Consider the following 13,340-nt stretch of genomic DNA (forward strand, 5'->3'; position numbering starts at 1 on the left):
GTGGGACAGTTTAATTCAGGAATAGGTCAAAATCCCCAAGGTTCATATGGTGATTTGCAGACGTGCTACCTGGTTTTAAATTTCATTGTTTCTAATCTCTTGATGGTACAGCATGATATAAATTTATTCTTTCATTATGATAAGAATCTACCGAGGAAATAGGAGTAGCACCTGCAACACATAGCATGGATTCTACCTCTTTTACTTTAAGAAAAAAGAAAGAAATATAATTGGAAGTCTTGTTCAAGCATCTGCAGTGCCTGACTCAGGGCACTCAATCAATAAATATGCTGGCAGAACTAAATGATGTGTTTCCTGCATTCTCATTGAGCTTTTTCCTTGTTACTAAGCAGCATCTGTGTTAGGTCCATCGCTGACGGAACAGGCTGCAGTGGTTTATTTTTAAGCAAAAGTGATCTCATTGGAATTTGTGAATTAATGGTACCGACGTTGGAAAATGGACAGCTTCTTTGATTTCCACCTGTTTTTGTGAAGTGTTGGTAAGGAAGCAAACAAATAGTATCCATTTTGTAGGAATAACATACAAATTGTTCTAAATACAAAGACTGCTTTACTCTGAGCCTCAGCTTGGGGGTCTGTCTCCCCTGTGAAGCTAGCCCTCCATAACCCTTGTCTCCTTTGAGTTTTGAAAACACCTAGTGCTTGACATCTGCCAACCGATTCCTCACACATCTTTGGAGGAGTCATTTCACCTCTCAGCAGCTCAGTAGCTCAATGTAACTTTCCTTCCTCCTCATTATGGTGGGGATCAGGAGAGATAATAAATATCATTGCACTCGGAAGACTATAAAGCACTTTAGAGTTGTCAGTTATTCCAAATTGCTCACAAAAGCAGAATCTCACAGAAAGTCTTGGACTCTTCTGGGTAGATTTTCTTTGTTACCAAGCTGAGTTTGTCAGTAGCTTACCTCTACCTGCAGGGATTGCATGCCCCTCCAGCAGCTATGCTCGGGTGATGGGATTTATTTCTAGTTTTCTGGTATTTAAAATATTTAGAGAAGGAGTTCCAAATGGTTCTCCAGGAATTTTACTATTTAACAAATATCTGAGGAAGGGAAAGGAGGCTGAGAAATTTGCATTACACATTGGCCACCGTAAAGAGTAACTACATCACTGCAGATTTCAGCATGCCTTTACATGCTGGTGAGCTAACCAGGCCAAGTCAATTTGAAGTGCCATGGAGTTTTCTATAGTATATCAAGCTAAAGGGCTGGAAGGAACTTTATTTTTCAGTGATCCCTGAATTGCCTTTGGGATGAAATCCAAACAGTGAAAGCCACTGCCCCTTCTTGCATCGCCACCTTTATGTTGCCTTCCAGTTTAAGAAGGAAGATTGAGCACAGAAATGTTCCTTGTTTTGATGGCAAAAGCATGTGGAAGTGACAGCAAAATAAATAACGAAAAACACAGCTGCAGCCGGGCATGGTAGCTCACACCTGTAATCCCAGCACTTTGGGAGGCTGAGGTGGGCGGATCACCTGAGGTCAGGAGTTCGAGACCAGCCTGGCCAATATAGTGAAACCCTGTCTCTACTAGAAATACAAAAATTAGCCGGGCTCGGTGGCAGGTGCCTGTGATCCCAGCTACTCGGGAGGCTGAGGCAGGAGAATCGTTTGAATGTTGGAGGCGGAGGTTGCAGTGAGCCAAGATTGCGCCACCACACTCCCGCCTGGGTGACAGAGCAAGACTCCGTCTCAAAAAACAAACAAACAAAAGCATAGCTGCTTCTTTCTCAAAAACAAGAACAGGAGTTCTTCACATACCTGGATTGAAAGGGAAGACATCCTCATAAGAAGGAACAGGTAAAAACCTATGGCAGGAGGGAAGGCCAAATTTCCATCATCCTCAAGTCATAGAGACTGAAGTCAGGCACAACAGGAGGGCTTGGAAGGTTGGTTTTCATGAGAGACCAGGGGTACATGGAGTCCCTGCCTGAAAACTGGGTTCATGGTCAGAAGGCCTCAGATCACATCACCCATTTGGGGGAAAGGGCTCCAGCCTAAATGACCACCAAGACTTAGTTTAGAGCTGTTACCTAGACAGAATCTCAAAACTGCCTGAGGACCACCCAACCAGGGGCCTCTCAAGACCCAGAACACTTGTAAGACAGAAGCTTACAACCAAGAACCACAAAGCATCTTCAGAAAACATCCCCCCATAAAGCAGAAACCAACCCAACACACATGAAAACCAAAATCCAAAGAAATTTAAATCAATAGGGAAAAGAGAAAATGACATTTTAGATTTTTGAAATAACTATCACTATGCTAAAGAAGCATGAAACTATAAAATATGAGTAGATGATCTTGAAAAAAGTTATTTAGATATATTAGATATTAAAATGTAATTATTTTAAATTTAAATCCTTAGTTGGGTAATAGAACAGTCTAGGTGTATTAAAATATTGACAAGTAGGAGATTGAACTGAAGAAATCATCCAAATACTCCCAAAGTCAAAAAGGAAAAACTTAAGAAAAAGCCCGAGGTGTGGGGATTGACCTAGAAGCTCCAGCACAGTCCAGATGGGATTCTGGAAGGAGGGGATCAAATGCTGCAGGAGCCATATTGTATGAGATAATTACTGGTAGTATTCCTGATGTGAAGAAAAATAGTCTTTAAGCTGAAAATATTACTGACTGTTAAGCAGAATTTTTAAAGAAAATCCACAAGTGGACATTTTTTCTAATGGAATTTCAGAATATCAAATACAATGAGAGAATCTCCCTTCCCCTCTAGGATTTCCTGTTCACATTGTCTGCCACGCCAATGCCAACACACACAATCTCTTGAAAATACTGCATCCACCGACAACTTTCTGCCCTTATGAGCCTTCCTAGCTTGAATGTTTTTCTCTCTCCTTTATCTTGGCTAGCAGCCTCTTTCCTTCAGCAAGTCCTCCTGGAATCAATCCCTCCCACTTTCTTATTTAATAGTCTGCTTCCATATTAGCAGGACAAGCCCTGTTCCTCTCAGCCCCGTCCCTGCTATGTTCTGATCATTCATTCTGCTTTGGTTCCACTGCTCTGTGAGCTTGTATAAGGCCTTTCTCTTCTTCAGGGCTCAGCATGGTTTGTGGAATGTGGCAGTCTCCTGTGCCTGTCATTATCTCAGATGATTTTGGGAATGAATCAAATGATAAACCAATGAATTAGATATCAGTTGAATGTGCAAATGAGCCATCTAGGTACAGAGAGGCCAGCAGTGAGTTTCTTAAGGAGACAGAGCTAATTAAGGACAGAGTCATGTCCTGGCTTGAATGGAGCAATTTTGATAGCATATATCATAATGCCTCCACCACATACTTTCCCTATATAGAAGTCTTAAGTGTTTTAAAAATACCTTTAAAAAACAAATAAAATTACAGTTTTTAAAATAAAATACATGTATAGAAAGAAAGATTTTCAGAAAGTGAATACATTGCCTTTTCATCTTTTATTTCCAACGTTTGTTTAAATGGCAGTCTTACATGTTTTTTCTTATGAGGCACATAGATACCTTAAGTTGCATGGCTAGAATCATTCTTGAATAGTGAAGTTTAATCAGATAAAATGTAAATTTCAACATGATTATTATTTTCTGACCACGTACTTAAGAATGTCTCAGGAAGTTTTAGACTTCTTAATTGCAAGATCAGAGTGTAACTTTATTAGATTAATGTCTAGTAATTTTTAAAATTCTCATTTATTGTCGTGTATATGGAAGTGTGTCATGTTTGAAGCCATGTGCCTTTTCCTGAGGCTGCTTCAGCCACACCTAGAAAGCTCCTAGAGCGAAGAAAGAACTTGGTTTGGTTTAATGCACTATGTTCAGCGCCCGGGATAGCTCCATATACAGTCATGTTTCACAATAAGGCCACCTTGAGTCACAGCATTCTGTAATTTTCAAAAGACTGCTACACACAGTAACCCTATTTGATATTCAAGAGATCAGTCAATGCACAAAGGAATACATGACTTTTCTGACAATTTCAGTAATTTGTCAACAACCAGACCCAAAAGGAAGAAACCAAAAGTGACGTAATAAAACCCATGCAATGCACTGGGGTCCTAGAAGCTTTGAAAATTTTATTTAGAGATTATTTATTCCTATTTGTTTATGTAATCCTAACAGAATTTCTTTCTGTTTTTCTAACCTGCCACAGAGTTTAAAACACAAAATTAAAAGAGGCAAATGGTTCTGTCAAGGTCAAGAACAACAGTCCAAAAAGCGTAACAGCCAGAAATTGAAACAAGAAACAGACATACCACCAGACATTGAAATACAAAAACACACAGCTCTAGAGCCACTGAATGTGGAATGCACACAGACATATGCACCTCAGTTAGCACCAAGATCACCCCACATAGCAGCACAACAGGAAACTGTTGAAATGAGAAAACTGGGAGTCTTTGAAAAAAATGTGCAATGATATTTAGCATCTTCTATTTAAGAGGGCAGGGAAGTAAATAAGCATCCTAGGTAGATAATGTCCATCAGATGTGGTCAAGTCAATATACAGAGGAGTTTCTTATTAGTATCACAGAAGTGAAGGTGGTGGAATGGACTGGCCTGTAGGCTCACAGGTCAGGCATGCTGACAGCCCTGTGTCTTTTCAAAGTCAATAAGTGGATTTTTGTGCCTCTAATGGAGAGAGCCTCTTCTGAGGAGGAGCAAAAACTCTAGAAGCTTTGATCTCTGGAAATACAGGATAAAAGCTCTCAGATTTTTAAAGTCTCACCCACTGACGCCATTAACTAAACATCTCATCTTGGGATGAACATTAGCTGAGTGTGTTCACAGGCTTATCCCAAGTGCTTTCTCCTAAGCCTTGTAACAGAGATGCGGCAAGGCAGAATCTGGTAGTCTGTGTACAGATAATTGGGGTTTGATCCTGTCTGAGCAAGAACTAACCCACAACCCAGAGACAGCCAGGGACAAGTGAAGCTTATGGAGAATGAAGACCTAAGGAATATTTTCTGTGTCTTTGAATTCTCAGCAGCTAAAATGCTGCACTTAATGAATGCTTCATGATTGACCAATTACATCATATGACTGAGGTCCATTCTGGATATCCGTATCTTCCTCTCGACTATTCCCACCCTATTGTTCATAAATCAATCCTGAAAGAATTATTTACCTCTGTGCTGAGAAATATGATCACTTACATGCTGCAGGTGTGGGTGAGAAGGCGTGATGCCGTTCTACTGAATCATGATTTCCTTAGCATAGGTTTTGATAGTTTAATTAAAAACAGAATGCAAGACTGGCTTTTATCCCCATTCACTTATGGACGTCATGTGTGTTCCCATCCATACTATTTATAAATGACAATCAGAATGTTTATGGTCCTCTCATTTTACTAATTATGAAACAAGCTTAACTCTTTGCTTTTTATTTTTTTCTAGCGGAAGATAATAGTCTGTCTCAAAAGAAGAAGGTCACTGTAGAAGATCTCTTCAGTGAAGACTTCAAAATTCATGACCCCGAGGCTAAGTGGATAAGTGGTGAGTCCAGGTCCTTCGTGCACAAGACATCGCTTCCCCATGCCTCACCCCCACTTTCAATAGGTTGGGTCTAGTAATTTGCCTCTCGGATTTCCCCCTTTGGCCACAGAAGGGGATCTACAGAGCTTTTGCTGTAGTCATCATCAGATTATCATTCTATGAAAATGTGTATCTGGTAAAATCAGGCTTTTGTAATGGTGTTGCCTCCCGAGCATCCACACAGCCTTCACTTAATGAGAAATGGGTCTGCTGAAGACGTGTCCTTTGTGTGCCACCTCCCAGAGACATCATTTCTCCGGGGGAGCTGTGGGGTGTTGCTTAGCAACAGGAACAGTGCAGGGCACGGTGAGCTTTCCTTCCTTCTCCACAATCTTCATTCCCCTTTGTTCTCTTGCTCTCTTTCCGTTAGGCAGAAGGACCAAAAGCAACTCATGGAGTTCTTGTAGAATAGCTTCCAAATGAAACTTGGAGTGCTGTACACAGATGCAGATTCATTTATTTTCCCTGTTGAACTTTAATTTGGATTAAATCTACTTTCCTTGTATGGGGGATTTTTTTTTTAAAACAACAGAACAAAATACAGTTGGGGGCAGAAGGCATATGTTCACAATGCCTGTGTTGGTTCATAACATAATCTATTTCTTCTAATTGGGTCTGAAATAATTCAAGTGCATCCATGGAAGATGTACCCATCCCTCCACAGGCCAAGTTGCCAGCACCTCCCTGTTGCCTCCATTGCTGTTGCTTACATTTCATCTTTGCTTCAGTGGAATACACTTGAAGGTTTATCCTCAGGCCAGAGAACTTTATAGTGATCAAAGTCTAGTTCAGATCCTTGCTTTTATAATAAATGAGGTCCAGAGAGGTCAAGTGACTTTTCTGAGGTCACAGAGCTGATGAGTGCGAGCTGTGGCTAGCAGCCCGTCCCCTGACTTCCAATTCAGTGCTCTTCCCACCATCCTCTTTTGCTGAGTGATCGAGTGTCGTTGTATGTTTTTCTGTCAAACTGCTTCTAAAATGCTTTTCATGCTTCACAAACTCTCAGAAATCAATTAACAATGACTCTTGGCTGTTAGTCTCCTGCTTAGGGGCAATCACTTTTCTTTCGTCCTCTATTGTGGCTTCAGTATTCATTTCTGACCCTTAGATTAGCTTATTTAAAAGTGAAAAAAGTAGGTGGATCTCAGAGGGAATGTATTTTAGAAAACTGGGGAGAAATTAGAGCAGCAGTATATCATGAATACCAAGGGCACACAGAAATTAAAAAACAAAACAAAACAGCACAGAGGTCTTTTTGTTTGGTGGAGGAATTGACTTTGCCTTTGTTTTCGGCTGACCTGCTGAAATGTTCGTGTTCGTGTTCACTGTATGTTCGTGTACACCCGCTGCATCAGCAAATGCAAGCACTTGTGGGATGCCACAGGTAGACCTTGGGAGGAAAACATGACAACTCTCCTTGAGGAGCTCAAAGTTGTGTTGGAGACGTATCTATGAGCAGCCAGTGGGAATCCTAACACACAAGACTCAGAGAGGAGGATCGGAAGTTCTCATCCTTCTCAAAGGATGTCCCAGAGACAGTGCACAAACTCAGTCTTAAAGCGATGGCTAGGAGCTTGTTAGAGAAAGCTAAGAATAGAGCCCTGGAAGAATGTTAGGTCTAGAATGTTAGTCTTGCTAAACCCTGGTTGGGGGAACCAAAACCAAGCTGAGAAACAATGCCCAGCAGTTACAAAAACAAAACAAAACACTTAGACTTGTGGTATTTAAGAAAATGAGTGAGCACAGTGGCTCACACCTGTATTCCAGCACTTTGGGAAGCCGAGGCAGGCAGATCGCTTGAATCCAGGAATTTGAGGCCAGCCTGGGAAACATGTTGAAACGTCACCTTTATAAAAAACTAGCCAGCCATGTGGGACCTCTGGTCCCAGCTACGTGGGAGGCTGAGGTGAGAGGATGGCTTCAGCCTGGGAGGTCCAGGCTGCGGTTAACTGTAATCATGCCATTGCACTCCAACCTGGGTGACAGAGCGAGACCCTGTCAAAAAAAAAAGAGTGAACTCTTTGGTATTTGTCAAAAACCAATTATAAAGGCTCAGTTAATCATTGCAGAGTTACTTCATTCACTTTAAGCTATTACGTCTTTAGGGAGCAGGTTTGTCCATGGAACTGTTTCTCAGTGGTATACATGGGAGTCACACCACCCACCACCATGATCTCCCACCACCACCACCAGCAGCACCAGCACCACAGGCTTCTCTTTCTGCTCCTTCTCTGCTTCTCCTTCTCCTTCTCGTGGAGAGGCAGAATTCAAGGATGAATCAAGAGGCCAGAAACAAGGGACACCAAACCTGAGCTCTAGGGTTCAGAGTAGGTTGGAGGAGGGCCTGGGAAGACGCCATGATATGTTGAAATAAAGTGTATTCATACCTATAAGGTATATATTTTTATTAGAAAGCCCATGGCATCAGACTTGGCCTAAAGCAGCATTCCATGCCAAAAAAAAAAAGTATATGTAGAGATGTGGAGACACAAGAGCACAGATGTTTCTGGAGGAACGTGTGCCAGTTCATGGTATAAGGAGTTTGATTTTTATGAGCAAATGAATGGAGTCTGCCCAGAGAGGCACTGGCTTTCTGGCCAGAGGAGACCAGCCGGATTTTCTTTATATCCGCAAAGCTGGGAGTTAATACACGCAATTGAGACGTGGCTATGTGCCCAGCAGAAAATGCCCAGCCTGCCTGTATCATCAGGTTATGCCTATTCATAATGACCACCTGCAGTTCTAAATGGACCTGCCTTTGGTGTTGAGGAGCTTTCTTAGGATGATTCTCCCTCTGTAAATGTACACACTGAAGAAACTTTGCTGTGAAGTAACCAAGTGGTTGGGTCCCCAAATACAGGTTTGATTTGGAGTGTTTTGGAACCTAATAATTCCACTCACACATGACCCTCAGCTTCCCCTTACCTTTTTTTTTTTATCTTATTCCTCTTCCTAAACATTCTCTCTCTTCCCGCTCCCTAAAGAGGCAATAGCTTAAAGTGAATGAAGTAACTTTGCAATGATGAACGGAGTCTTTATAATTGGTTTTTGACAAATACTATAGAGTTCACCCATTTTTTTTTAATACCACAAGTCTAAGTGTTAAGATCTGGGAAAAGATTACTACAAATCCATAGGATTATCTCATGTTGTAGAGCTGGGATGAGCCTTAGAAATTATTAGAACATTAATTCATTCAGTAAGAGATTTTTGAGTGCCCACAGTGTAGCAGACAAATTGCTGGGCCCAAAAGCGGTGAGCGATTTGTTCATGGAACTGTTTCTTAGTGATAGACATAAGAATTATTACCCACCACCACCATCTATCACCACTACCACCATCACAGTCTCCTCTTCCTCCTCCTCTTCCTCACATCACCGTCATCATCATAACATCATCATCAAGATCATATTATCATCTTCATTATCTTCTGGGTGTTTACTGTGTCTTAAGCTCTAGGCTAAATGATCTATATACATATATATATATATAGACATTTAATTACCACAACTACAATGATTCCCATTTTACAGATGAAGAAACTGAGTCTCAGGGTATTGAAATAACTTGATCAATATCACAAAGTTTGTAAGTAGCAAAATTCTGATTTGAACCTAGGTCTGTCTGGTTTTTATAAACTACCCTATTCTGGATAAAATTCAGGTCTCCTGCCAATTTCTTTTGCAACCTTAGTAGTTACATTGTGTATTTTAACCAAAATTATAGGTTCCGAACAGTTCAGAATAATTGCCACTTTTTGAAGTCTCTATTCTAGCTTTCTATTCCCATAGTGACCATGTCAAAGTTACAAAATACGCAAGAGATGAAGAAAAATGGTGTAATTCTCTACAGAGGAAGAGACTTGATTTTGTTTTTTGTTTGTTTGTTTGTTTGTTTTTTAGTACACATTAACTGCTGAAGTTAACAAGTGTACCTTGGGTTTAATATTGGAGTTAACAGTCTGGAACTAATACGCTTTATTTATCAGGAGGAAATGTGTTAGGTTGGAATTGAATTTCCCTTCCCTCATTTTTATACTGTATGCTTAATTTTTTAAATCTACCTTGTCTGAAAATGATTGGTACAACAGCCTCACATTCTCTAACATCCTGAAGACCTTGTAGACTTCCTTACTTGTTTGTTGCAACTACTGGGGCAAGCCAAATGAGGTGTGTAAAGCCATGAAAAGGCCCACTCTGGGCCAGGTGTGGTGGCTCACGCCTGTAATCCCAGCACTTTGGGAGGCCAAGGTGGGTGGATCATTTGAGGTAAGGAGTTCGAGACCAGCCTGGCCAACATGGTGAAACCCTGTCTCTACTAAAAATACAAAAATTAGCCAGGCGTGGTAGGGCACACCTGTAGTCCCAGCTACTCGGGAGGCTAAGGCAGCAGAATCACTCAAACCTGGGAGGTGCAGGTGGCAGTGAGCCGACATTGCGCCACAGCACTCCAGCCTGGGTGACAGAGCAAGACTCCATCTCAAAAAAAAAAAAAAAAAGAAAAGAAAAGAAAAAGAAAAGGCTCACTCTGGGCTCCCTCTCAAAGAGGTGCACACTCCCAGAAGTGGTCACAGCATTGCCTCTCCAAGTATTTGCTCCATTGAGTAAATTCTTATACCTGTTATAACAACCGCATTGCACTTCTTAACCTTTTGGAGCCCCTTTGTGCCATTCTGGGACTCCACTCTAGGGGCTGTGATGAGATATTTTGGTTACTCTTTGTTTACATGGACCAATCATCCTGGGCTCCCCTGGCCCATTCCCTCTTTCTCATTTCTAGATGATGATAATTGCAAATCTCACCTTCTCTGCCCAACCCTGCAAACTCCCTCCCCATCCTCCTTCTCAGCTGAAACTGCCAGAAGAGAGCTTAGGAACACTCCCACTGTCCTGTCAACTGGCCTCAACACTGCCGCTGGCTCTTCCTGCACCACTCCCACCCCGCCCCTGCCCCGCCCCACAGGTGACCTGTCTGCTGTCTGCACTCAATCTAAAGGAACCACAGATGCACTCGCTTCACTTACCTGAGGAATCATTACAGCAGGCCCCTCCTTTCTCCCCTAAATTTTTGTTCTGTATTGGCTGATTCCTATCATGAACGAAATGTGGTCTTCCTTCTCTTACCTTAACACAAACACCTCATCTCAAGTCCACATGCCCTGCCTGGCTCGGCCTGGCTTCCCTGTTCCCCTTTGCAGCCTGAAGCAGTCTTCTATCTGTAACATCTCCAGGTACTCTTCTTCCACTCTCCCTAAATCCACTCCCGTTAGGCTACCACGCCCAGCACTCTCCGAAACTCCTCTTGTCAAGGTCAGAGATGACCTCCAGGTTGCTAAATGCAACAGGCATTTCTCAGACCCCAACTTATTTTACCTGCCAGCAGCATTGGACACCATTGATTCCTCCTCTGCCCTGGATACACTTTTTTCTTTCTTGTCAGCTCATGGGCATCTCCTTTGCAGGAGGGTTGGCCGGTTCTCCCTCTTCTCCCTGACGTTTAATATTGCTGCAAGACTCAGGACTTGTTCCTCTCCTTTTCATGGCTGCACGCCCTCCCTTGGTGTCTCCCTCCAGTCTTATAGTTTTAAATATCCTCCATTTACTGATGATTCCTAAACATATGTCATCAGACAAACCTTCTCTCAAATCTCTCAGATGTCTGAGAGACATTTCAATTTTAACCTTAATATCTCCAAGTCTCAGTCCTTGATTTCCCCCCAAAACCAAAAATACAAAAGAAAAAAAATCCACCCTATCCACAACCTTTCTGATGTCAGTTGATGGAAAAATTTGTAGAACAAGCTAAGGACCTTCAAGTCATCTTTTATTCTACTTTTTCTCTAACATCCCACATCCGATCCATCAAGAAATCCTGCCAGCTCTGCCTTCAGAACACACGTGCCCATCCTAGCCTCCACGTGATGTTTGGGTGCATGAATACCATGGCAGACTTGGCATCAGTCCACTCGGAGGGTTGGAGGGCTGGACTCAAGCCCAGCAGCAGCAGGAAGGACCGAGGCTCTACTCCGGCACCTCAGGTACTAGCTCAGGTGCAAGGAGAAGGGGATGCTTGGGTGACTGGGGTGGAATTTTAATGTTTCTAACTTTAAAAGTCTGAATTCCTCAAGTTTCTCACTTATCCTCACTTTGTACTCCCTGAGGGGAAATAATTCACCCCCACAATGTTAGGTATTGTCTATATGATGATGAGTTTCAATTCTCTAGCTCAAATGCTCTTCCGAGCTATACACTTGGAGAGAGAGAGAGAGGGGTGTGTGTGTGTGTGTGTGTGTGTGTGTCTGTGTGTGTGTGCATGTCAGTCACTGGCTAATTTCCATGTCCACTGCAGTATCTTACATTCACCTCACATCCTCATGCCCAGCACTACATCATCCTCCCCCAACCTCTTCACAGACCCCCCGCTGCCCACTGTGCGAGCACAGCCCTGGCCCCCCGACCCTCCATGTCTCAGACTCTACATGATCTGTTTACTCTCCTGACTCATCATTGGCCATCTCCCCAGTTTTCTCTTAAACTTTGCCTACGTGAACTTCTTTGGATTGCTTCAGAAGTCCATCTTCTTTTCCCCCAGAGTGGCTCTTACATAGGATGTTCCTTCTGTCCAGCCCACTCGCTCTCCTCTCCGCGTCCACTTGTGATCACTCCTAGTCACCACCCTGCATGTTATCTTTTTCCTTTAAGTTGCTCCCTAATTCTTGCTCTGCCCCACATTGACTCTTCTGGTTTTGGATTCTCCTATATCCTGCACTGACCCTTTTGTTACATAGGTTAAGTATAATTATTTATGAATGTAAACTCCACAAGGATGGGACTCGCATCTCTGTTTACTGTGGTATCCCCAGCACCAGCAAAGTCCCCAGTTTGTGGCCGTCCACGAAGACTTCTTGGGCATTTTCTCATTTGATACTTAAACAGCCTAGTTTTAAAGATAAGGAAACTTACAAGCATGTGATTTCACATAGAATGGTGGAAATCTTTTCTGATCATGTGATTTGGGGGCAGGGACCTGAAGGTGAGGATCATGCAGATGAGTTCTCTGGGGGAAAGCCTTCCAGGCAGGGTGGAACAACCAACGCAAAGGTCTTGGTGCAGGAGGCTGCTTGGCATATTCATGAACAGTGTTGAGCCTGAGGGAGAAGAGCCAGAGATAAGATCAGAGTGGAGGCTGGGACCAACACCTACAGGCTCTGTGGCAATGAAGGGGGCAAAGGGAGTATGGGGGAGAATTTAGAGAAGCTGAGAAGTTGGGTTTAACTTATTGGCACTGAAGGTTTTAGAATAACAATGACATGGTGCAAGCTTAGGCTGATATATCAACTTCTTGTATTATATATACTACACATTTGTTATATGTATGTATTTATTACAGTAAATTAGAAATCAGAGATTAACACAAATTTAAAAGATACTAAAAATTACCTGTAACCCCTCTAACTGAAAATGGCCACTATTAAATTTTCATAGCTCTCCTTCCAGATAATAACATATATTGAATAATACTAAGTGTATTAAGTAGGAAAATATTCATAACCTATACATACATATATTCTCATGGCAGTAAGTATACATCGTCATTATCTTTTTAACATCTTAATAGTATTTCACGATATTAATGTGCCTTAATTTGCGCCATCTTCTGATATTGAAAGTTTAGGCTGTGACAGGAAAGGAAGTGGCAGGTGTAAAAAGCCATGGTGAGTGACAAATCAGCAGGAGGTGGTAGTGTATAGAAATGGAACACCAGGGAAGAGAGCACTGTCAAGGCTGACTTGAGGAT

The 13,340-nt window shown here is 42.2% G+C and overlaps 1 protein-coding gene across 14 annotated transcripts in view; it reads left to right on the forward strand.

The window, feature by feature from the left end:
- Window positions 1-13,340, forward strand: part of DPP6 (dipeptidyl peptidase like 6) — a 1,146,153-nt gene that overhangs the window by 721,401 nt on the left and 411,412 nt on the right. For all 14 annotated transcript variants that reach the window (NR_157195.2, NR_157196.2, XM_047419951.1 and 11 more), the window contains one exon: window positions 5,406-5,504. Coding sequence is in view for 12 of the 14 variants with exons in the window: in XM_047419951.1 (XP_047275907.1) it covers window positions 5,406-5,504 (99 nt within the window). In the remaining 2 variants the exon portion in view is untranslated. The remainder of the gene's footprint in view (window positions 1-5,405; window positions 5,505-13,340) is intronic.

Source organism: Homo sapiens, chromosome 7 (assembly GCF_000001405.40).
Source record: "Homo sapiens chromosome 7, GRCh38.p14 Primary Assembly".
Classification (NCBI taxonomy): Eukaryota; Metazoa; Chordata; class Mammalia; order Primates; family Hominidae; genus Homo; species Homo sapiens.